The sequence below is a fragment of the Homo sapiens genome, chromosome 14 (assembly GCF_000001405.40).
Source record: "Homo sapiens chromosome 14, GRCh38.p14 Primary Assembly".
Lineage (NCBI taxonomy): Eukaryota > Metazoa > Chordata > Mammalia > Primates > Hominidae > Homo > Homo sapiens.
Window position 1 is genome coordinate 75,438,271 of NC_000014.9, and position 22,944 is coordinate 75,461,214.

The window sequence follows — 22,944 nt, forward strand, 5'->3', positions numbered from 1 at the left end:
CCAGGCCTTCTGTATCAGAATCTGCATCTTAACAAGATCCCCCAGGGATTCGTGGACGTATTAACACTTGAGAAGCACTGGGCCAGGGGAGGATGTTTAACCTGTCTCTGGTTCTCTGGGGGGCGGTGGAAGAGTGATAATAATGACAGTAATGAATAGTAATATCTTGGCCATCTCTCTGGGGTGGTGGGAGGATTGGGGAGATAATGGGAATGGGAATGTGTACATGTTTTGAAAAGTAGACAAGAGAATGCCAATATTAGGTTATCTTTTAAAATTGTTATCATTAGTCACATCGTGACCTCCACCCCTCTTGGCCCTTTCTGCAGCTGAACCAGGGAACTTGGAGGAAGAGTAGCGTGGCCTCCCTTCCCAAGCAGCTGCCAGAGCTAGGCATGGCCTCGGTCAGCCAGCAGTGTCCGCCTTAGATGGCGTTTGCCCGGGACCCACACGTGGAGCACCCACATGTGGCATTTGCAAGGAATTCCTCCTCAGGTCCCTTGCACCTGCAGCTCTCATGAGCCCTTTTTCTCGGGGCACTGGTGAGCAGCAGCAGTCCCCGGCATGGCTGAGGATCTGTGCAGGGCATGCCCCCGGCGACTTGCCCAGGGCTGGCCGTTTCTCTGAAGGCCTGTCCCAGCAAGGTTCCCAGCAGCGCCGTTTCTTCAGAGGCCTGCCAGAGTAGCTGCCCCCTGGAAAGGAGGAGCCTGTGGTGGGAGGTGGGGAAGAGGCTGGGATCGGGAGGGCGCAGGAAGCAGCTGAGCATCTGGGAATGGTAGCTCTGCTTGGAGGGAGAGTTCACAGGCAAAGATGAGCCTGGGGGGAGCTCGGAGGGCTGAAGTGCTGGAAGTGCTGGAGAGAGGACTTTCTTCGTGGAGAAGGGTGTCTGGGTACCCGTAGGGGAGAGCTGGGGATATTAGGCAACTATCTCTCAGCTCCCCTTCTCCTGATAGGTACCTAAAAACTGCAGAGGACTGCTGGGGGCTTGGCTGTGGTGGCAAACTGGCCGTGGTGGCAAACTGGCCATTTGCAGGCTGGACCTGGCTCTCAGATGTATTTTGTTTGGCCGGCTCAGTGTTTTAAAAGAAACGCGAACCCCCATTTCATTTGAAAATTTTGATTAAAAAATTGTAAGATCTCATCATACACTACCCTGTTCTGGCATGGTAATGGCTAAGTGGGGTGGACAGAGGCACTTCACTGTTTCCTCTTTCCAGTGGGCCACAGGCCCCTGCACCTCCCTGTTATTCGTGATCCTACTTACATTGTTGGTTTTGCTTTTGCTACTACCATCTGCCTTCATTTACCTCTACTGCCTGGTCCCTGTTAGCCATTTGTGCTCAAGACACGTGGATAAGGTCCATCATAGGTGCCTACTAAAGACTGTGGATTACAAGCTGTGAGTTGATGGTGATTACATTCTTCTGAATTGATCTTGTAAGCCAATGTGTCGTTGGGGCACATCCCGGCTTATATAGTGTTCTGTCTTCACGATGGAGGGTCCTTGTCTTTTGGCCCTCTGCTCCTCACCTTCCCAGGTCTGTAACTTGAGAGCATCTGTTTCTGGATCATTCCACAGTAAAATTGCCATTTAGAGCCAGTAGCTGAGCAGTTTCATGGGGGCACTAAGGCTGCGCATGGGGTTGATGAAGAGCCAGGTGTCTTGGGCAGAGGTCGTCAAGCTGGGATTCGCCTGGGGGGCTGAGTTAACACCTCTCTCCTCTGCAAAAGGCACTGGAGGAACTCTTCCCTTTTTTTATTTTTTATTTTTGGAAAAGCCACTTTTATTTGGGTTGGGTATTTTTACATTTTACAGCCACCCCCAAATTGGTGGCATCTGCCCTGTACCCGACAGTGACGTGCTGTCCTCACAGGCACCCACAGACGTGCACCATCCAGGCCGCAAAAATAACAAGCCGTTTTTAGGGCATATTTGCATGTCCTCTCCCTCGCTGTCAGACTGCAGTGTTGTGGGGGCGAAGAGGCAGATGGAGCTGCGAGATTGTACCGATGTAGAGAGATGCCAGCCCTGCACTGCGAACCGACCTCCAAATGCTTCCTAGGTCAGACCCCAGGGGCGGGAAGAGCTAATTCTTGGAGTAACTAAAACCTAAAGCGGGGTGGGGAAAGAAACTTGCAGCTGAAGAATCTATGGTCTGAAGATCTATTTGCATATGGCAAACTGCCTTGAGCGGATTTTCATATTGGCATTTTAGACTAGTAAAAGTTTCTTTAATAATAATCAGATACTAGCTCATTAAGCATTTAATATGTCCCAGGACCTGCACAAAGTGCTTAACATGCATGACTTCATTCATTCCTTATTCAGTCCTGGAGTCCAGGTTACCCCCATAGTAGAGAAGAGTTTGAGGTCTAGGGAGGGGGTTCAGTCACTCAGGGTCACACTGCTGGGAAGTGATAGCGCTGGGGCCTGGTGTGGTGGACGATGGCTGCCGTTACAGCCGGGTCTCACTTGTGCTGAGCTAAGCCCTAGGCACGGTACTAGGTCTCTTTGTGAAGTACCTTGTTTACCCTGCACAAGTACCCTCTGAAGTAACTAGTGTTGTTGCTGTTGTTATACCCACATTACAGATGAGGTCAACAAGGCTGAGGGAGGTCCAAGGTCACTGGCTGGGAAATGAGCTCAGGCAGTCTGCCTTGAGCCCAAGCTTTAACCACATGCCGTGTGGCCTCCCATGCCTCTATACCCCTTCCAGGCTTCTAACCAGAGCTCTGTTGAGCTGGGGAGGCTGGATGAACCTGGCCGCAGAATGTTCGATCATTTTGATGACATTGTCTGATGAGTGCTGAGCCCTGCAGTCCTGCAGCCTTACTGTCTCCTAGTTCCGAGAGAGAGAGAGAGGGAGAGAGAGAGAGAGAGCGAGAGAGCGAGCCGGCTGAGCCGCTGTGCGGGCAGCTCTGTCAGAGCTGGTTCTTGGGTTGTTTGCCTTGCAGAGGCCAGCAGTCTCCTGGGCTCTGTCCAAACGCATGGAGCAATTCAGTAAAAGAAAATGGGAGGAATTAAGTTCAACGACAGGTTTTGTGAATTATAAAGTGCTTTGTGCTGATGTCATTATTATTACATGGTCAACACATGACGTTAAACTGTTTTGGTGCCAACTGCTTGCCTGCAGTCCCTTTGTTCAAGCCATATTTGTTAAGCATCTACTATGTGCTGAGCACTGCACCAGGCACTGGGAACAGAGCTACAGATAAAGCAGTCAAAGCCTTACATCTCTCGGCACCGTATATTGCAGTGACGGCATCCAAAAGTAAGCAAATTAATACACGATATATAAGGTGAGTTAGTGGTCAGCACCACGAAGAAAAATTAAGCAGACCAAGGACGTGGCAGTGGTAGGACTGCTCATTCTGATGGTTGGCCAGGGACCCTGGGAACGTCATTTCCTGGGTTGTGGGATTTTTAAAGCTGTTGCTTCTTTCTCCTTTCTTTTCTAGTATTCGCTTTCAGGACAGCTTTGCTCTCTGGCTTTCTCCAGAGCTTTCCTTCCTTGACTTTTCCTCTGTAGCCCCTCACAGCTGGACTCCTCCACCAACCAGTCCCTATTGGCCTGAAGATCTTGGCCCTTCCCAGGTCATCTCCCAGCGAGCTGTGGCTGTGGTGGTCACACCCTGCCTCTGGGTCTGGAATGCATTTTCAGTTGGGAGGGGAGGGAGGCCTGAAGCCCCACCCTTGCACACACACATAGACACACCAGACACTTACTAATCAACCTGCTAGACAGGACCCCTCACCCTCTCGCCACGTCTCGGTGCTCTAGAGGGGACTCAAGAGTTCAAGGGAGGCTAAACTGGATGACCTTTCAGGAAAGAGGCTGCACACTGTCGTTAAGGGGCAGGAGTCGGCCTACAGATGAATCTTGTTCACAGGGTGGTTTGCTTTTTCTTTCTTTTTTAACAAAATCACAGTGTGGTTTTCTTTTTCTTTTTTAAAAAATTGAATGAATTGCCATATTTAAAAGCCGGGAAATGTGGACTCTCTGGCTTCTTTTAAAAAACCAGAATATCTACCCACTTAAGGCCACACCCTTATACACAACAAGAGGTTGGAGCTGAGGGGCAGATGCCTGCTGTATTTGTATACAGCCTTGAGTTCACCGCATTCCCCACTACTCACTGATGTCTTACCCCCAGCCCGCTTCATACCATCTGTGTTGCCAGCCTGATTTTGAGTCTGTGTCCCATGTTTATGTCCCACAGACCTTGCTTGTTTGTTTGAACATTATGAGCTGTGTCAACTTGGCAAGTCACTTAAACTTTATTCCTTGATCGCTCTACCTCCCAATTCTTATCTCCAGCCATTGTTCATTAGGTTTTGCTATTTCCAAATTTCGTTGACTTCAGGCAGAAAAAAACAAAATACAACAAAAATCAAACCAATCATTCCCAAACGTGGCTGGTCATCAAAACACCTTGGGAAACTTCTTAAAAAGTATAAATTTCTAGACCTCACCCAAGGTCCATGGAATCAGAATATCTGAGGGTAGAGTCCTGGGAAGCTGTATAGCTAGTAGGCTCAGAGATGACTCAGCTACTTTTGGGAATGTGACTCTTTGCGGTTTCTTCCTCTCCTCAGGCTCTTCTGATCCTTGTCAGGGAGCTTTCTGGGGGTGTCACCCCGAGGAATCGGTGCATACGTATCATTGTGGACTGCCCTTTCCAACGTAGGGCAGTTTCCTGTGTGTATTCCACATGGGGACCGGATCCGTGTCCTCATCATTTTCAGAGCTGGAGAGGAGACTTAACTGTCTGTGGATTTCACATTGGCGATTTCCCATCTTCTCCAGGGTCCCTGGAGAACATTGAGAGGGTTTTCCCGTTTTGGATGAAGTGTGAATAGGAATCCATGGACCAGAGAGCGGCCTTGGAAGCCATGTTCACTCAGCCCCAGGTGGTCTTCCCAGACTTTGTTCATAACAGAGACCAAGACGTGCATCCATGTTTAGCCTGAGCAGAAAAAGTTGCCCCAAACCAGCTGATGTGCTGGGTAAATGTTGGCCTAAGCATGCTTGTGTTTTTAGTGATTTGAAACGTAAAGGCAGCCCACTGACATTTTTTAGCAAGCTTTGCATAATTGGTTTTTAATTGTGGCTCTTTGGAATAGCATTGGCCTTCTTCCCCCTGACTCAGATGCTTTTTTTGTCTCATACTTGTTTGGCAGAGAGGTCCAATCTGTCCTCTCTTGGAACAGAATCTCCCAACTCATCTTTGAAATCCGTAATTTCCACTTTAGTTCCGTTACTTTGTTAGCACATTTTCGAAAGCTGTTAGCTTAAAAAAAAAAATTAAATTTGAGGGAGAATGAGTGATAGTTAAAGGCAGCTATGAGTGTGTTTAACATTGGCCCCTGTGGTGTTGAGTCTTATTTGATACCATATCCAGAGCATTCACAAGGGTTCTGAAGCTTTTATTTAAAATCAGAAGTCGGTCACACCCACTGTTATCCTAGCACAGGGTCCCTTGGAGAGGTGGTGGTGAGGACGTGGCTGGATCTCTATGTCCTTAGCAGAAATCAGACACCTCTGAAAAGCTCAGGAAGTCTTACAGCTTCTTAGGTTTTCTATTAATATCTTAAAGTGAGGATAATAATAATACCTACCTCTTAGTGTTGTTATGAATTTTTTTTTTTGAGACAGATTCTCACTCTGTTGCCCAGGCTGGAGTGCAATGGCATGATCTTGGCTCACTGCAGCCTTGACCTCTTGAGCTCAAGAAATCCTCTCACCTCAGCCTCCTGAGTAGCTGGGACTACAGGCACATGTCACCATGCCTGGCTAATTTTTGTATTTTTTGTAGAGATGGGGGTTTTGCCATGTTGCCCAGGCTGTTTTTGGACTCCTGGGCTCAAGCGATCCTCCCATCTTGGCCTCCCAAAGTGCTGGGATTACAGGCGTGAGCCACCAACCCCTGTTGCTGCTATGATAATGAAATGAACTAATGCTGCTAAAGGTTTCACATGATGCCTGGCACTTAGTAAGACACAGATATAAGGTAGGCTTGTGACTCACTTTTCAAATGTGTTGATCGTGCAAAGTAGTTTTTATAATTGAATCAAAAACCTGTTTCTTGGGCTTGTATTGACCTGAGGGTATTTTGTCCTCGGAGATGGTGGGTGGTCTGAGGCGTTGCAGGAGCAGGGCACATCCAGGCTTCCTAACCAGAGGGGCTACTTCTGGGGCCTGGGAAGAGTTCTGGGCTTGGGTGCAAGTTCTGGGTTCAAAGTCTGGCTCTCTCGCTCATTCCCAGCACAACCTTGGGAAAGTTAGCTCGTTTCCTCATCTGTAACAGGAGAAAATCCAAACTGCCCTTTCCAAAGTAGTACAGTTTCCTGCACATACTGCACATGGTGACTGGATCCACATCCTCATCACAGAGCTTCATCGCGAAGATTAAGTGAGGTGCTGTGTGAAAGATGACCTTGACTGCAGTGCAGTATGTCCGTAAATTACCTTTGTTAGAGACTGATTCCATGTGTAGTGAACTACCTATTCTGACAGCACTAACCTTTCTGAAGTATTAGCCTATGACCTGGGTTTCAGGGAAGCAAGCAGACTTTCCAGTTTCTGGTTGTTTATGCAGTTTAGACGCAGCTGGAGTTTTAATTATCATAACAAACTATAAATGAGAAGGCTTTTCAAGCCTCTGTTTTCCCCTAAGCTGCCTTCTGTGACCCCTTATCTTGTTTCCTGTGGTGTTAATGTCATCGTTGTATTCCCATCAACCAACAATCTTTTAGCAGCCTTAAGAAGGGCTGTCAAGTCTTCTGTCAATCCTACCATCTTACTTTGATGTTTCCAGGTCCACCGGCAACATGGACTCAGAGTTGGGAAACTGAGTCCTCTCCTGGGTGAGGCTCATCTGGCTGAACAACTATGAAGCCATTTAAGTCTGTTTTCCTTCTACTGTGCCCAAAAGGCACAAGGCAACCTGGCCTGAGGTTGGAGCATGGAGATCTAGAGGAACTCATGGATGGATTCAGGCGGGATGTGAAAGTGCTGGGAGTGAGGGCCTGGGCCTCCTCTGGGTTTAGCCACCCTTCCAGGTTGTGTACAACCTGCCATATGCTGGGGCTCATTGACTGTGCTCTGCTCTGTGGCTACAGGATCCCCTTTTACTGAGCGTAGTGCATGTGTATGCTCTGACAAACTCCTCCGTGGTTTGCCTCTGTAGTCCTCCCTACACCCTACCAACTCCCCAGTCCCCGCGAATAAAAACCCTTGCCTTTTTGGAGGCAATGTAGCAAAGCAGGACTGCTGCATTGGAATAGTTTGGCTCTGGAGAGTTCACTAGATGTTTGAAATTCAGTTTCGTCCCTTGTAAAAATAGGGGAAATAGACCCCTACCTAGTACCTAGTACCATATACATATATTATCTCAAAATGGATCGAAGGCCTAAATGTAAGAGTGAAAACTAGAAAACTCTTAGAAGAAAACAGCTGTAAATCTTTGTGACCTTGGATTAGGTAGTGGTTTCTTAGATTTTATGCCAAAAATAAAAGCAACAAAATAAAAAAAATAAATTGGACATCTTCAAAATTAAAAACTTTGGTACTTCAAAGGACACAAAGTAAAAAGAAAATCCACAGAATGAGAGAAAATGTTTGCAAATCGTAGATCCAATAAGGGACTTGTATCTAGAATATATAAAGAATGATTACAGCTCAATAATAAGACAAATAACCCAGTAGAAAAATGGGCAAAAGATCTCAATATTAATTTCTCCAAAGAAAATATATAAATGGCAACTAAGCACATGAAAAAATGCTCAACATCATAGCCATCAAGGAAATACAAGTCAAAAACCACAATGAGATACTACTTTGCACCCACTAGGATGACTATAGTGAAAAAAAAGAGATAATAACAAGTATTGGTGAGCATGTGGAGAAGCTGTCGTCATGAATTGATCGTGGGAATGTAAAATGATGCAGCCACTTTGGAAAACAGTCTGGCAGTTCCTCAAATGGCTAAACAGAGTTCCCATGCGATCCAGCCATTTCACTCCTACATATATTTCCTTTCCCAACAGAAAGGAAAACATGTCCACACAAAAACATACATGAGAGTTTACAGTGGCATTATTCATAATAGCTCCAAAGTGGAAGCAGCTCAAATGTCCATGAATTGGTGCATGAATAAATAAAACATGGTCTATCCATACAATGGATTATTATTTAGCCATAAAAAGGAATGAAGAACTGATACATGCTGTAATATGGATGAACCTTGGAAACATTATGCTGGGTAAAAGAAGCCAGCCACAAGAGACCACAGAGTGTGTGGGTCCATTTAGATGAAATGTCCAGAATAGGCAAATTCATAGAGACAGGAAGTAGAGCCAGTACTGTGGTTACCTAGGGGTGGGGAGATGGGAGGAGTGGGGAGTGATGGCCAAGGGATATGAGGTTTCTTTTGGGGGTGATGAAAGTGTTCTAAAATTGTAGTGATAGTTGCACAACTCTGGATATAATACAAGTTGGTGAATTGTATACTTTAATGGACAAATTGTATGGTATGTGTGAGTTTGATCTCAATAAAGTGCTTTTAAAAATGGAGAATAATAATATCTGCCTTACAGGGTTGTGGGGAGGCTGAAAAGGAATAATGTATACAAATCCCCCAGTATGTAACAATGTTCCAGAATTAGTAGCTAGGGTTATTAAAACCCCCTTTTAGACCAGCGGCAGTGAAGAAGCCTTTTTTCCTTTTTATTGCTAGTATCTATCCAGGAGCAAGGAGAACAATCTGATAGGATTTAATATAGAACTAGGGAGGATATATGGTATAGAATAGCAGTTTCTAACTCTGACTACTGATTAGAATTCCCCGGAAAGTCTTTCAAAAATATTGATCCTGATTCAGCTGGTCTGAGTGGGGCTGGCAGGTGTTCTAACCTGTAGCCATTAGCTGAAAACCTGGTAATCCAGTTAAGAAACCAGCCCAGTTCTTTGAAGGAGCGAGGACATCTGTGTTCAGGTCAGAAGTCATACACAAGCAATGCACTTTATAGTTTGCAAACTTCTTTTGTAGACGTCATCTCTGATCTGTTCCAACAACCCTATGAGGTGGTGTTAGTAGTATGAGTTGTTAGAGAGCTGACGCTCAGAAGATTAAGTCACTTGCCAGGGTCTCATTTTTTAAAGCATAATTTTATCTATTATTAAAAAAAGGCAAGATCCACACACATGCTCATACCTATTAGTTATCAGACCTAACACCTTGGAGAGCACTGCCAAGGTGACAGCTGGTGCCAGGTTAATCTATTTTACATAGACTTCAGCACAAAGCTCTTCCTGCTACTTCGCATTAACTGATGAGCATCCTGAGAGTGGAAAGCAAGCTGATGAGGCACTATCTATTATCTGTCTATGTTTTTTATTTTTTTTGAGTTGGAGTCTCACTATTGCCCAGGCTGGAGTGCAGTGGCGTGATCTCGGCTCACTGCAACCTCTGCCTCTGGGGTTCAAGTGATTCTCCTGGCTCAGCCTCCTGAATAGCTGGGATTACAGGTGTGTACCACCATGCCTGGCTAATTTTTGTATTTTTAGTAGAGATGGGGTTTTGCCATGTTGCCCAGGCTGGTCTCGAACTCCTGAGCTCAAAGTGATCCACCTGCCTTGGCCTCCCAAAGTGCTGGGATTACAGGCGTGAGCCACTGTGCCCGGCTAGCTAGTTAGCTAGCTATCACCTACCTACCATTTGTAACTAACTACTAAACTGAATGCGCAAGAAAAACAAAAGACAGGAATAATTTGGATACGAGATTATCAGAAACCTGCAACTATCTCAGATAACCTCTGAGTTAAAGGTTTTGCACCAGCCAAAACATCTTTTTGTTCTCATTGAATGACTATAATAAGGATATGATGCAATTGTAAGCCCTTAAGTAAAATATATACCGCCTTAACCTGTTGAGTATTTTGTGGTATCATTTGAACAAGATGTTTCTGTTGCTGAAACCAATAGATGCTACTTAAAGTGGGGTCAGCATCTGGGAGCTTGTTAGAAGTGCAGATTCTTGGGTCTTACCCTAAACATACTGAAGCACACTCTCTGAAGGGTGGGGCCCAGAAATCCATGATGCAATAAGCCCCCCAGGGGATTCTGATGCTCTCTGCACATGTAGAGCATGTCTCCATGGTCACCCCTTCCAGCTCTGACTGGCCATGATTCTATCTGAGAATGGTTAAAGGATCTAAAACCACATTTTTCTCAACACCTATCTCAAGCTTCCTAGATGGATCCACCTGCCATTGGATACTCATTAATGCTTATGGTTCCCCGAATCTGTGTAAGGCAGGGGTTGCTTTCTGAATCAGCAAATACCTTAGCGTTTCCAAACCAGTTATTTCCATGTCTTGAGATGCTCAACATTGCCACGTCCACGCCCTAAGGGACTTCCCAATTAATTACGCTGCCGAGCTTGTCAATAGGCTGGTTCCTTCATTGTTTTAGAAGGAAGAATCAGAGAAGCTGTTCTCATGCCAAAGGAACCCTCATTTGCTGCCACTGACCCAGAGTTCTCAGCAGTTCTGGTCTGATAACTGAGGATCCACTCCATAGCCCTGGCAATGGGGAGCTCTGTGTCCCACTCTATCTGCCTCAGTGTGGCAAAGCCCTTCCATACCTTCTCTCTGCACCTAAATTGCATCCATCTCCTTAAATAAATCACTCTTGGTAAAACCCCTCTTCCATCCTCCGGGCCAGATATCCCTGGCTGTGAACGGTTTGGCCCTTTCACCTCGGTAGGGTTTATATTAGCTGGTGTTCAGTATTCTTGATGGGGAGGTTGCCTTTGCCGGGAGATTTGTCTGTTATCTGTGCCTTGTGCTTGAAAGAAATTGGATGAAATGCATGTTTTAGCCACACACCCTGCATACAGATTAAATGGAACTGCCTTGGTAGAGAATAATTAAGCCAAGGACCTTGTTTTTCACCTTCATGATGAAAGACAAATGACTTCCAAAGGCTTTAATAAGATGGAACTTGAAATGTTCTCCTACTTTGGCCAGCTTGGGACTTTCAGAACAGCCTTGTTCATAAATATTCTGTGCAACGACTGCATTTTCATTTAATTGTAGATAGAGTCATTTTGCAGGAGCTCTTGTCTCCATTTTTGACCCAGTGTAATCAAGGCATATTACACCATTTGTTGTTGTTAAAGAGTCAGTTTCAGCTGTATTATTAACTCTTTGAGAAGAAGACAGATTTTTCCCTGCCAGATGCATTCTGCTTCTCACCAGTCTTTTGGGGGTGATGAGGGTCTTGTGGGGGCCACCATTTCTCTCCTTTTCTCATCTTTTGAAGTGACTGTCAATTGGACAAGAAAACAGATTGATTGCCTAGTGGGAAACTAGACCCCACTAAGTCATAAATATGAAATGGGCCTGAAATAGACATATTTCAGCAAAAGACATCCTTCCCCAAATAGCTCTTCTCTAGCAAAAGGATTTCCTAGCAATCATCATCTCTTTTTCTCTTCAGTGTTAGGTTTTCTGTCTGTGCCAAGGTGATTTTTCCTGTGTCTCCTGGATTCTTTCTCACTTTTGTAATAACAGTGTTTGCTCTTTCCTTAGCAAAACCGGCTGTAAATGGGTGTCACCCTGCCTAGCTGGCTTTCTCAGGCTTTGTTCCAAACACAATGCTGTCTTTTCTTAGCCGTGGAAATGGGGCTGTTCTCCACTGGTTTTTGAGAGAATGGCCTTTTCCTATTCTGTTCATATAAACCAGCCTCACACCTCGGCGGCCTGTTGTTTTTGGGGTTCTCTTAATGCAAAAGAAGGTTTTTACTATGGACAAGGGGAGTTGGGAGGGCCCTGGTCAGAGACATGCTGCATCTGGCTGAGATACGAGGAGACTGAGGAGTCAGTTTGGAAGGATCCACCTGTGGGCTCTGATGCCCCACAAAGATTGTAGGGTGTCAGGCTTTCAGTTCATACAGAAGGTGTCCCCTGCCTCTTCCCAGAAAGCAGTAGCCTTCCAGTTGGTCCTGTCACTGTCCGACCCAGGACCGGGGCACACTCATTCCCCTTCTCTGACCTTGAGTTCCTGGCCTGAGGATGCAGCCAGGATCTAGGGTCTCTGGGTCTTCTCAGTTGCAGAATCTAAGGCTGGAGCTTAGTTTGCAGCCCTGCTTCCCACACTGTTTCCTGCAGATGCTGTGCACACAGGGCAATGGCTTATCCACCCGTGCCCCCAGCCATGGGAGCCGAGTGACTCATCTTGGCAGGTGGAGCCATTGCCTCTGCCAGCTCTTGTTCAGAGCCTTCACCTGGTGGTTGGCTGAGCTGATTTGAGTGAGCACAGCGTCCAGTGTGTGGGTTTGTTCACAGGTGAATGTGCTTGATTACATCCTGCTGTTGGGGGCAGCTGAAGTGAAGTGGAAAGAACCTTGGACTTGGAGTCAGGAGTGTCTGGGTTCTTGCCCAGGTCACCAGCTCTGTGGATCAGGCCTCCCTTCCTCCCTAACCACGCAAGGTGCTGAGCACACAAAAAGTCAACAAGATGCAGACTTTGCCCTCGTGGAACTCCCAGTTTAATGGAGGAGTCAGAAACTGTGAATAGAATATAATACAGTAGGGGCCAGGATACGCTCAGAGCAGAGGGACACCTCCTCAGCCTACAGGGTGTGAAAATCAGGGAGGGCTTCCAGTGGGAGGTGATGCTCCAGCTGCATGTACAGGAGACATGAGAAGTAAGCCAAGGGGACAGCAGGGCAAAGGCATGAAGGCCAGGGAAGTGTATGGTATATGGCACCTCAGTGTTTCAGGAGCATAGAGCGGAACCCTGGGATCAACAGGTGGTAAGACCACAGCAGGTGGGGCCAAGTCCCAGCAACCTCATTTGACATAGGAGCTTGGGCCTCATCCGGAGGGTAAGGTGCACAGTAACTGGGCCAGATTTGCATTTTAGAAAGATCCTTCCGATGGCTGGGATGGAGGATGGTTGTGCAGGATCTGGAGGCCTCCTGGGGGACTGGGGCAGTGGTCAAGGAGAGACAGTGGGCCTGGAAAGTGACAGTGGGGGTGGATGGGGGGAGCAAATCTGACGAAGATTTAAAATCTAGAATTGGATGGCTGGCGTGATCAAAATTGGAGATAACAAGAGGGACGGGGGTGTGGGGAGGCAGGTAGTGAGCCCTCAGGGACATCCACGTTGAGCGTCTGGCCCAGCTGGCACTTGGATATTTGGGTCTGCAAATCCAGATTTGGTTGGCATTAGTGTATGGGTGGTGGCTGAAACCACGTGAGTAGATGCAAACGGAGATCCACAGGCCGTGCGTATCGAGTGAGGAGAGTAGCAGGCCAAGGATGGGACCTGGAAAACAGCCCGGAAGGGATGGGAAATAGCAGGAGACTGGAAAGGCAAGGTCAGAGGATGGGCAGGTGCAGGGGAGTGGGTCCAGGGCATGGAAAATTCAGGAAAGAGGGATGATGCACAGTCAGGCAGAGCCTCCCAGGAGGATGGACCAAGCAGTGTCCTCTGGGCTGGTCTGTGAAGACCCAATCCCTGTCTTGAAGAGCAAGCCATTTCCTTCTCTGGGACTCAGTTTCCTCATCTAAAATCTAGGGATTAGCCTTGGTGCTTCCAAGAGCCCCTGGCACTAAGCGTCTGTAAAAGCAGAAACTTCTTTTTTCTTTTTTTCGAGACAGAGTCTTGCTCTGTTGCCCAGGCCGGAGTGCAGTGGCACAATCATGGCTTACTGCAGTCTCAACATCCTGGGCTCAAGCAATCCTCCAGCCTCAGCCTCCTGAGTGGCTGGGACTACTGGTGTACACCACTGTGCCCAGCTAAGAAACTTCTTATAAGAAATTAGGGGGCACCCTTCCTACATCCCTCAATCAGGCCCACGCTGCCCTTGAAGGCTGGATGAATGAAAACCCAGAGAAGTCAGAGCTGGAAAGGACTTTGCGGAGATTTTAGTCCAGCCCACCGTGTGGAAGGTAGCCTGATGGAATGGAGTCAATCCCTGTCTTTTCCCAGCTTGGCAGCCTCGGGCAGACACTCCACCTCGCTGAGCCTCAGTTTTCTCACTTGTAAAATAAGGCCCCTGAGACCCACCTTGCAGATGTGTTTGAAGGTCAGTGAGAAATGGGAGCTACTTGTGCTTATTAAAGATGAGCCCCAGGACCGGAGAGGTGACCTGATTGACTCGAGGTCACAGAGCAGGGCACTGTGGTGACCAGAGCCCAGGCTTCTGAGGACAAGCCCACTAGGGTCAGCTGACTGCCAGAGGTCATAAATCAGCAGCCGTGGGCCAGTGCAGCCCACAGATGTGTTTTGTTTGGCTCATGCGGTGTTCCTTTCAAAATGGAATTTGTTGCTGACATTCAAAAGTGGGAGATTTTACTTCAAAAATTTATATTTTCTTGAAAACTTGGAAGAATTAGCAGCACTGAGCCTGCATCCCACTGGGGCTAGTGTCCCCTCCCATGGCAGGAGGGGTGGCCACCGCCCCATCCAGCCCTCCCCCCTCACTAATGGTGAGTTACTTGCTTGACCCCTGAGGTGATGTGAGTCTGCAACCCCAGCCTTAGACTGACCATTTGTCTTGAATTTTCTCCTAAAGCCCTGCCCGCTGTTCACTGAAACAGCTCAATATTTCACAGCTGAGGCCCAGACCTTGGCCACTGAGTAAGAAGGCCTGGCAAGAGATGACGGGAGAGACAGGAGGGCAGAGAGTTTCCAACAGCTCAGCCCCATGGGGGATGCTGGGAGGGCCTGGCCCCTGCAGGCTGCCGGGGGTCAGCAAGGGAGTTGGCTGAGGGCCCCTGGGGTTTCCTCATTCCTCCCTCCTGGAGTGGGAGGAGGCTATGGGCCTAGCCGGCTGGGCAGGCTGAGATCTTGTCCCTGAATTGCCCTACTTTGTTGATGGGGGGTGGGGGAGTGGGGAGGGACTGCAGCCCCTGGCTTAGTGCAGCCCTGTTTATGTAGGGGAATGTCTGGTATGTTTGGTATTTGGGTGTTTACTTCCCAGGGTGCTCATGGGTCCCTGGTGTTGAAATGTGGCTCCTCCATGCAGGGGGGGCCCTGGTGGGCCTGGCTGGCTGTGTGAGGCCTGAGGCTAGATTTGGAGGCTGCGGGGCTGTTACTCCAGGCCTGCTCACTGACAACTCAGCACGCCCTGAACTCCCCAGCCTGCTCCTCCCTCTCCGCAGTACTCCTTTCTGTGCCGCATTCTGCCCGGAGGCAGGCCAGTGTGCCGCTGCTGCAATAGCACCACCTCCGCCTTGCCTGCGAAGGAAGGCAGGGAAGCTGGCATCACGGAACTCTTCCTGTGCTCCCGGCTCTGGGCTGGAACTCAGTCCTCATTACTACCATGTGCGGCAGGGCTCAGTACCTTCCTGTACAAGTGAGGAATGGAGGCTCAGAGAGGCCAAGTAACTTGCCCAGGAGCACACAGCTGGTCTACAGCAGAGCTTCTGGAGGAACTCAGGTCTTAAAGACCACCCCCCAACCCCACCAACCAAAGCTCACACTGTCAACTCTGATGCCACAAGTCTCAGATTAGCCTGGTTCTGTCTGCCCAGGCAACAATTCTTAGTATGAGACAGAACCCTCAGACTTGGGCTACTCTGGTTAGTGCTGGGGGTTTTGGTTTTTCTTTTGTGTCCATTTTTGCTTATCACTTCCTTTATTTCTTTGTCCATGTGAGAGTTTCTGTATTTTCAGCGCCTTGGGTTGAGAATGTAATTTCTCTTTCTCATTCTGTCTCTCTGTGGGTCCTGCAAGCTATGTTTTTGAAAACGCTTATGAAAAGTCAGAATTCAAAATCACATCTGGGCTGCTGTTTGTCACAGTGGAAATGCCGCGCCACCTGCAGACGGGGCCTGAGAAACACGGAAATGGGTGAGGGTTAGGCCCGAGAGGAGCTGGTGACGTCCCCTCCTTTAAACCATGGAGCTTGAATGTTACACCTTCATGTAAATTGTGCAATAACGTTTTTTAAAACATGTTAAAAACTTCTAACTCTAAAGGCAGTGATCATGATCAGACCACCCACCCCTTGAAGAGCAGGACGTGCTCAGGCCCTGCGGCCCAAAGACCTGGATACGAGTCCTGCGCTGTCACTGAGCATCTACGCAGCCTTGATGTTCTTAGTTTCCTCATCTGCAAAAGTGGGGAAGCTGAATAGAGCTGTGCTGGGTGACTTACTGAGATGGCAAATTAAATGTAGTTAATTTAGTTAATAAACACCCATTCTGTGCCATGCTCAGCTCTGGTGGCTGAGTGACAGTGGTGAAGGTGATGATAGACTGAGATATTTATATAGATTAACTATGAATAGATTAAGGTTCTCATGGGAAACTGACAACGGGCAGGCAAACATGCATGTGAAAAAGATAAGTGCTGTTAGTGAATGCACCTTGAAGGAAATACACAGGGAGATAGTAACAGGACAGGGCTTTTAGTTTGGGGTGGTCAGTAAAGACGTCAAGAAGGAGCAGCAAGTACAAACCCGGGGGACAGGGAAGAACTTGTCGTTTTGAGGGAGAGGAAGAAGGCCCATTGTTGGAGTTGAGGGGTAGAGGAGGGCGATGTAGTGGAAGGTCAGAGAGGCAGGAGGAGCCAGGTTTTCTCGGTTCTGTGGGCCACATGTGTTGGAAGCTGTTGGAGGGTTGCAAGCAGAGGAGCTGACTTGTGTTTTAGCCAAGGGAGAGCCCTTTGGAGCCACTGCAGCCGTCCAGTGCAGAGGCGACGAGGGCTTGGACCAGGCTGGAGGCAGCAGGGATGGAGAATGTGGTGGACACCTTAGAGATGTATTTTGCAGGTGGAATCATGACAACCTGCTAAATGGACTGTGTGAGTCCTTAATCGGCTCCAGGGCAAACTTCTCTGGGCACACAAATCTGCGTGCGCATGTACTGCATACAGATCCTGATTCAGTAGGTCTGGGTGGCCTTCAAGACTGCATTTCTAACAAGAGCTTGGGTGAGGCTGATTGTGCTGTTGGCCAACCACACTCCACAGTGCCTGACTCCTGGCAAACGTCCAGGAAGTGCTCGCTGTGGGGATGACCACGAGCCCTGTAGGAATCTCTCAACTGTTGCTGTCATTGACTCCTGCCTGCAGGCCGTGACTGGGTCCAGGACTGGGGGTGGACTTATGTAAATCACAGAGATAGATTCATACACGAGATAGTCTTGTTTGCCTATCAGATCCATTCCCGTTTTACCCTGCTCTGTGCCCCAGGTGGCTCATCTCAATGGACCACATTACCCAGGAGTCCTTCCACTCTGGCTTCTGGTTGAACTTGGCCATTAGGAGGTACCAGCCTTAGAAAAGAATTTGGGATATTCATTCCCCTGATCCCTCCCTGCTGGGCACCCATTGGGCAGTGGTGTGTTCCTCTACCAAAGAGCACAGCTCCTGTCTGGTGACCCTCTGCCATGGCTAAGTGACAGCTCTCCCTGGGTTCCAATCATCACTCCTGACCCTAGCCTCAGGCCGGAGGTGTTCGTGACTCCACTGCTGCTGGTCCCGGGTTCCCTAAGCTCTGTCCACCCCCTGTAAGTAGTTCCCTCATTAATTTCCTTTAAATAAACCCCTGTTTCCTGCTGGGATCCCCTAGTCCAGGGGCTTTGGTACCGACCGAGGTGACCCACCTCTGCCTTTTATTGGCGGCTGCTTAAGGGCCCTTCCGCATCCAGGCTCTGCTGCTTTCTCAGCGGTTTTAGGAATGTTGCTGAGGGTGGGATTTCACCCCTGGTCACTGGGGACCATCTTCAGCTCCTCCATTAGCCCCTGGCATCACCTGACCTCCAAGGGTAGAAGCTTGGTGTCCCAGGCATCTTTCAGTGGCATGTGGCAGAAACCTTCTCAAACTCCCTTCAAGCCAAGGGAGGAATTTTGACAGATTCATAGTCCCAATGACAAGGAGCATAGTCAGTCCTCACCAGGGTGGCATCAAGAGGACCAAGACAGCGTCTTTCTCTGTGTGTCTTCTGTTGATTGTTCCTCTGTCTGTGCCGTTGGCTTCTGTCCACATCTCTGCATGTTTCTCTCCCTGTGGCACTGCCTCTGTGTCTCTCTCTCCCCTTCTTCATCTCCGTGTTCTGTGTGTTTCTCTGTCCCACTGTCTCTGTCTGTCTGCCTGTTTGTCGGGAGTGCTCTGTCTCAGGGCCTGGTGAGGTGAGCAAGCCTGGGTGAGGTGCCCGGGGGCGTGGCATGTAGGGAGGTGCTTCCTCTTTGGTGCTGACCCTGCACTTGCTTAAATGTGTGCCTTGGGCACCCCACCTGCTTTCCCCTGCTCCAGGCCCGGCTTTTCTCTCCATCCCCCTTTCCCTCTCTTTGCCTGTTTCTTTGTCTCCCTGACCCCGTCTTGGAGCTGAGTGGTTGTTTCTCTCTTGGTACGTGGTCTCTGGTCTCTGCTCACCCTAAACTTCACAGCCCGATCTTCCTGCCTCCCTGTGCCTGGGGGTGAAGTTGGTTGCCCGGCCCTGCATGACCCCTCAGTCCAGCACTCAGGATCTCCCTGTCCAATTTAAAATTCCAGGAGAGTGAGTACAGCTCGGCTCAGCCATTCATGCCTCGTCCAGTCAGCTGTGGCAGGGGCTTGAGAGCAGGCTGTCTGAGGAGGGGTCTGGGTGAGGCGGGGCTGCTCTGCACGAGGGCCCTCTTGGTCCTGAGTCCCCAGGTCTCTCCATCCAATGTGAAGTGTGGCACAGCAGTACCCCTCACTGCCAGGACCCGGATGGCCTTGCCCTTGGGCCTTCCTGGGAAACTGCAGGAAAACAGAGCCAACACTAAGTTTGAGAACAGGGAAAAGCATGCTCCCCTCCCACCCTCAGCCCGCATCTCATGGTTCTTTAAATGTATTGAGCGTCAAGCTGCCTCCTCTTCAAACATCCTGGTTCTTCCAGCTGTATCTGCGGAAACAAATCATTATCACCCAGTTTGGGGTTCTGGTTTCAGATGTCAGAGCCATGTGTGGTACAAATACTCTCTGCCGTCTTTCTCCCACACATGGGCAAATGCTTTAGAGAATTCAAGAAGCACCAGGAAGGAGGAGGCAGCAGCCCTGACTCTGGGGACGAAGGAGCCCCAAGAAGGGCTGGGGAGAGTCTCCAAGTGGTCCCTGTCTAGGGGTACAGATGGCACAGGCCATGTTAGCTGTGGGGCATGAAGGCAGAGGGGATCTGCCAAATGCCTGTCTTGTTTCTGGTAGGGCCTTAACAGCTGTTTTCTACACCTCTGGGCAGCTCTTAAATAGCAGTGCGAGGATTTAGGGGTGATGCAGCACAGTTTCAATGGGGAAGGTATGAGGATGGGGCTTTGGGATCACATCTTGCCTCATTGGGAGATACCAGCCAAGGTTGGGGGCATGGGTGCAGGAAAGGCCTGGGGCTGGGCTTGGAAGCTGGTGGTGGCTGTGGAACTGGGGGCTCTAGGCCTCAGCACACACCCTAAGTTTTTTCCTGGCCTGCTTAGGGCTCATGCAGACTTGCCATAGCTGTCAGGGGCCTGTGCCCCCAAATCTAAACTCTGCCTTCAGCCAGTGTGCTTCTAGGGAAGGCAGGCTCCCAGCTTTGCTGGCCTACTACAAACAGAGAGAAGAGGCCACCCCGGCAGAGAAAGCTCCCGTGAGCGCTGGGGAAAAGGCCATGCAGATGCAAACGGGTGATAAGTCACTTTGTAATGAAAGAATCTAAGCCTGTAGCATCTCTCTCTGGAATCCTGAATTCCATTCATTCATCTGAGTGACATTTGTTGAGCCCCTCCTGAGTGCCACACTCTGTACCAGGTGCCGGGAATGCTCAGGTCCGGTTCTTCAGGCTAGCAGGGAAAACAGGCACCCACACAAACCGACGCTTGTGGTAGGATGCGATGGAGACTCCTACAGTGCTGTAGCAGCACCAAAAAAGCAGCGGATTCTTTTTCTTTTTTAACTTTTAAGTTCAGGGGTATGTGTGCAGATTTGTTATATAGGTAAATTCATGTCACGAGGGTTTGTTGTACAGATTATTTCATCACCCAGGTTCTAAGCCTAGTAGCCAATAATTATTTTTTCTGATCCTCTCCCTCCTCCTACCCTCCACCCTCAAGTAGGCCCCAGTGTGTGTTGTTCCTCTCTGTGTGTCCGTGTGTTCTCATCATTTAGCTCCCACTTATTAGTGAGAACATGCCGTATTTGGTTTTCTGTTGCTGTGGTAGTTTGCTAAGGATAATAACCTGAGCTCCATCTATGTTCCCGCAAAGGACATGATCCTGTTCCTTTTTATGGCTGCATAATATTCTATTGTGTAATATGTACCACATTTTCTTTATCCAGTCTATCATTGAGCATTCAGGTTGATTCTGTGTCTTTGCTATTGTGAACAGTGCTGCAATGAAAATACACATGCCTGTGTCTTTATGGTAGAATGATTTATATTCCTTGGGGTATATACTCAGGAATGAGATTGCTGGATTGAATAGTATTTCTGTTTTTAGCTAAAAGCAGCTGATTCTATCTGGGGAGTCAAAGGACCCTTCCTGGAGGAGGTGATGTTTACTCTCGAGGTTCAGTTAAGAGTTTACCAAGTGGGAAAGGAAGGATATCTCACTCAAGGCTGAGAGGGCCTGGCTGGCTTGGAGAAGGGTGAGACATTTGGACTAGAGGGTGATGCAGGAGGGGATGAACGTGGCTGGAGAGGGGAGGAGGAGCGGCCCCTGACCTGGGCCTCAGCCTGGCCCAGTTGATCTCTTAAACTTTCTTCCAGCTCTGAATCTTTTTGCATTGCTGCTAAAGCAGCTTCTGTCTGCTTCTGACTTTCTGTGGAATAAGGCCCTGTGCAGGATGGGGGTAGGGATTGAAGCCTTGGAGGGCAGAGGTTGGTTGCTCAGGGGAGGACACAAGGCCTTGCAGTACCCAGGCTGCACACATCACCTTGGCAGTTTGTGGGCAAACCCTCCTGGCCGAAGGGAGATTGCACCGCCAGCCACTTCCTCCAGTTCCTTCCCTCTGCCTGTCGTCACGGTTACCTTGGCCTTGTTGGGGGTGAGGTTAAGGTTGGGCGGAATCAATTTCAGCCAGGTTTCTATTTTCCCAGATGCAGGTCAGCCAGAGGAGCTGTCACTTCTGGTTCAGTTTCAAAGAAGGCCAAGGGACTGGGAGGTGCTTGGGTGTGGCGGTGTTGACGAGGCGCCTCTGCAGCTGACTCCCAGGTGGGGTGGGAGTGGGGCAGGGAGAAGCTCAGAGGTGGTGAGGAGGCAGAAAGGGGGCTGCCCTGCCAAGGCCTGTGCCGATGGCCATGGTGCTGGTCTCGGGCCCAGGCGCTCTGTCCTGAGCCCCCAGAGCATGCTGGGAGTGTGCAGAGAGAGGCTGTTTATTTTCCTGGCCTATAGCCCTTTGGGCTGAGACCTTGTTCCAGGCCTTGGGCTGCCAGAGTCACCCCCCACACCCTCCTCCCTGGCTGGAGAAGTGAGAGAGTTGGCAAGCCCAGGACAATCCAACGGCTTCTCTAATGGCCTATGACTCTGGTCTGTCCCCAGCCCAGCTGGTCCTGGGTGTCCTTCAGATTTTCCTGGTAGATCACCTACCAGGTAGGTAGGCAAGAGGCAGCAAGAGGTGCCACATCAAAGTGCTCCTGATGGACTGGGGCTGTAAGGGCTGGTGGTCAGGAGCAGGGTGCTTGAAACCAGAGAAATCTGAGTTTGAATCCTAATCTGCTATTTTGTAGTTGTATGGCCTTGGGCAAATTGAACTATTGAGCCTCAGTCTCACCATCTGTAAAATGGTACAGTAATAGTAACTTCCTCATAAGACTTTGATGGTGAGGATTAAATGACATGTGTTTAAAGCATTTATCAAAGTAGGCAACAAATGGCACCTCTTGTTATTATTACTAATGGAGCAATAACAACAGCAACTTTGATTCGAAGTCTGTGCTAGTGGGCAGTGAGTCTCCTTCTCCCCCATTCCAGGGGTCGTATTTCACGCATGGTGAGTTTATTAACATGTCCTGAGGGAGAAGCAAGCCCGGAGGCTCAGGAGGCCCCTTGCTTGTTCCCCAGGGTCCTTCAGCTCTCCCACAGGTGGGCATCCTGGGGGAAAGGATTAAAGCCAGATGAGGAGGCTGGGGAGACTGTTAGTGACAAGAGGAAATGGATCCCAGCATTTGGAAAGGGCCAAGAAAGGAACATTGGGTATGGAGGAGCGGGGAAGATCTTAAATCCCAACAGAAGGTAAGAGGAGAGGACAAAGATAGTCAAGGAGGTGGGAAGGTGGCAGTGGAATGTGGAACCTGTGTCCATGCCCAAGACGTTTTTAAAGGAAGTGCCTGGGAACCACTGGCCTGGAAAATTGTACCCAGAGGGCTTGGGCTGGGCAAAAGAAAAGGTCGTCACCGCCCGTTGGGTGCCACCTCTGTGTGAGTAGATTTGCCAGGCTCCTGGCCTCCTGAACTCCTCATCTGGCTTTAATCCTTTTCTCTGCTTTTGCATATTCTTCCCCCAGAATGTCCACCTGTGGGAGAGCTGAGGGACCCTGGGGGCAGAAGCGAGGGGCTTCCTGAGTCTCTGGGCTTGCTTCTCCCTCAGGACATCTGAACCTGGATATCTGTCTTAGTCCATTTTGTGTTACTATCACAGAATACCACCAACTGAGTAATTTATAAAGAAAAGAAATTTATTTCTCACAGTTCTGGAGGTTGTGAAGTCCAATATCAAGGTACTGGTGTCTTGTGAGGGCCTTCTTGCTGCATCATCCTAGGGCAGAAGGTGGGAAAGCAAGAGAGTACAAGACAGCAAGAAAGGGCCAAATTTCCTTTTATAACAAATCCCCTTTTCTAATAACAACATTAATCCATTCATTAATATTGTTACTAACCACCTCTTAAAGGTGTCACCTCTCAACACTGTTGCATTGGGGATTAAGTTTCTAACACTTGAAGTTTGGGAGACACATTCAAACCAGAGCAGAATCCCTGCCCGTTTGGGCTA

At 48.9% G+C, this 22,944-nt stretch overlaps 1 protein-coding gene across 9 annotated transcripts in view, besides 8 other annotated features; it reads left to right on the plus strand.

Annotated features, from left to right (window-relative positions):
* JDP2 (Jun dimerization protein 2) overlaps positions 1-22,944 on the plus strand; it is a 47,165-nt gene that overhangs the window by 11,328 nt on the left and 12,893 nt on the right. The window lies entirely within an intron of this gene.
* Positions 684-1,186: an enhancer, noted in NCBI's record as "H3K4me1 hESC enhancer chr14:75905657-75906159 (GRCh37/hg19 assembly coordinates)". NCBI's record gives its function as "activates a minimal SCP1, AML or CMV promoter by ChIP-STARR-seq in primed H9 embryonic stem cells {active_cell/tissue: H9 hESC(primed)}" and the evidence as "EXISTENCE:reporter gene assay evidence [ECO:0000049][PMID:30033119]".
* Positions 2,026-2,235: an enhancer, noted in NCBI's record as "active region_8748". NCBI's record gives its function as "activates an Ori minimal core promoter by ATAC-STARR-seq in GM12878 lymphoblastoid cells {active_cell/tissue: GM12878}" and the evidence as "EXISTENCE:reporter gene assay evidence [ECO:0000049][PMID:35858748]".
* Positions 2,390-3,373: an enhancer, noted in NCBI's record as "H3K27ac-H3K4me1 hESC enhancer chr14:75907363-75908346 (GRCh37/hg19 assembly coordinates)". NCBI's record gives its function as "activates a minimal SCP1, AML or CMV promoter by ChIP-STARR-seq in naive H9 embryonic stem cells {active_cell/tissue: H9 hESC(naive)}" and the evidence as "EXISTENCE:reporter gene assay evidence [ECO:0000049][PMID:30033119]".
* Positions 2,426-2,475: a silencer, noted in NCBI's record as "silent region_5948". NCBI's record gives its function as "represses an Ori minimal core promoter by ATAC-STARR-seq in GM12878 lymphoblastoid cells {active_cell/tissue: GM12878}" and the evidence as "EXISTENCE:reporter gene assay evidence [ECO:0000049][PMID:35858748]".
* Positions 13,727-14,241: an enhancer, noted in NCBI's record as "H3K27ac-H3K4me1 hESC enhancer chr14:75918700-75919214 (GRCh37/hg19 assembly coordinates)". NCBI's record gives its function as "activates a minimal SCP1, AML or CMV promoter by ChIP-STARR-seq in naive H9 embryonic stem cells {active_cell/tissue: H9 hESC(naive)}" and the evidence as "EXISTENCE:reporter gene assay evidence [ECO:0000049][PMID:30033119]".
* Positions 14,242-14,757: an enhancer, noted in NCBI's record as "NANOG-H3K27ac-H3K4me1 hESC enhancer chr14:75919215-75919730 (GRCh37/hg19 assembly coordinates)". NCBI's record gives its function as "activates a minimal SCP1, AML or CMV promoter by ChIP-STARR-seq in naive and primed H9 embryonic stem cells {active_cell/tissue: H9 hESC(naive and primed)}" and the evidence as "EXISTENCE:reporter gene assay evidence [ECO:0000049][PMID:30033119]".
* Positions 14,758-15,271: an enhancer, noted in NCBI's record as "NANOG-H3K27ac-H3K4me1 hESC enhancer chr14:75919731-75920244 (GRCh37/hg19 assembly coordinates)". NCBI's record gives its function as "activates a minimal SCP1, AML or CMV promoter by ChIP-STARR-seq in primed H9 embryonic stem cells {active_cell/tissue: H9 hESC(primed)}" and the evidence as "EXISTENCE:reporter gene assay evidence [ECO:0000049][PMID:30033119]".
* Positions 20,620-21,168: an enhancer, noted in NCBI's record as "H3K4me1 hESC enhancer chr14:75925593-75926141 (GRCh37/hg19 assembly coordinates)". NCBI's record gives its function as "activates a minimal SCP1, AML or CMV promoter by ChIP-STARR-seq in naive and primed H9 embryonic stem cells {active_cell/tissue: H9 hESC(naive and primed)}" and the evidence as "EXISTENCE:reporter gene assay evidence [ECO:0000049][PMID:30033119]".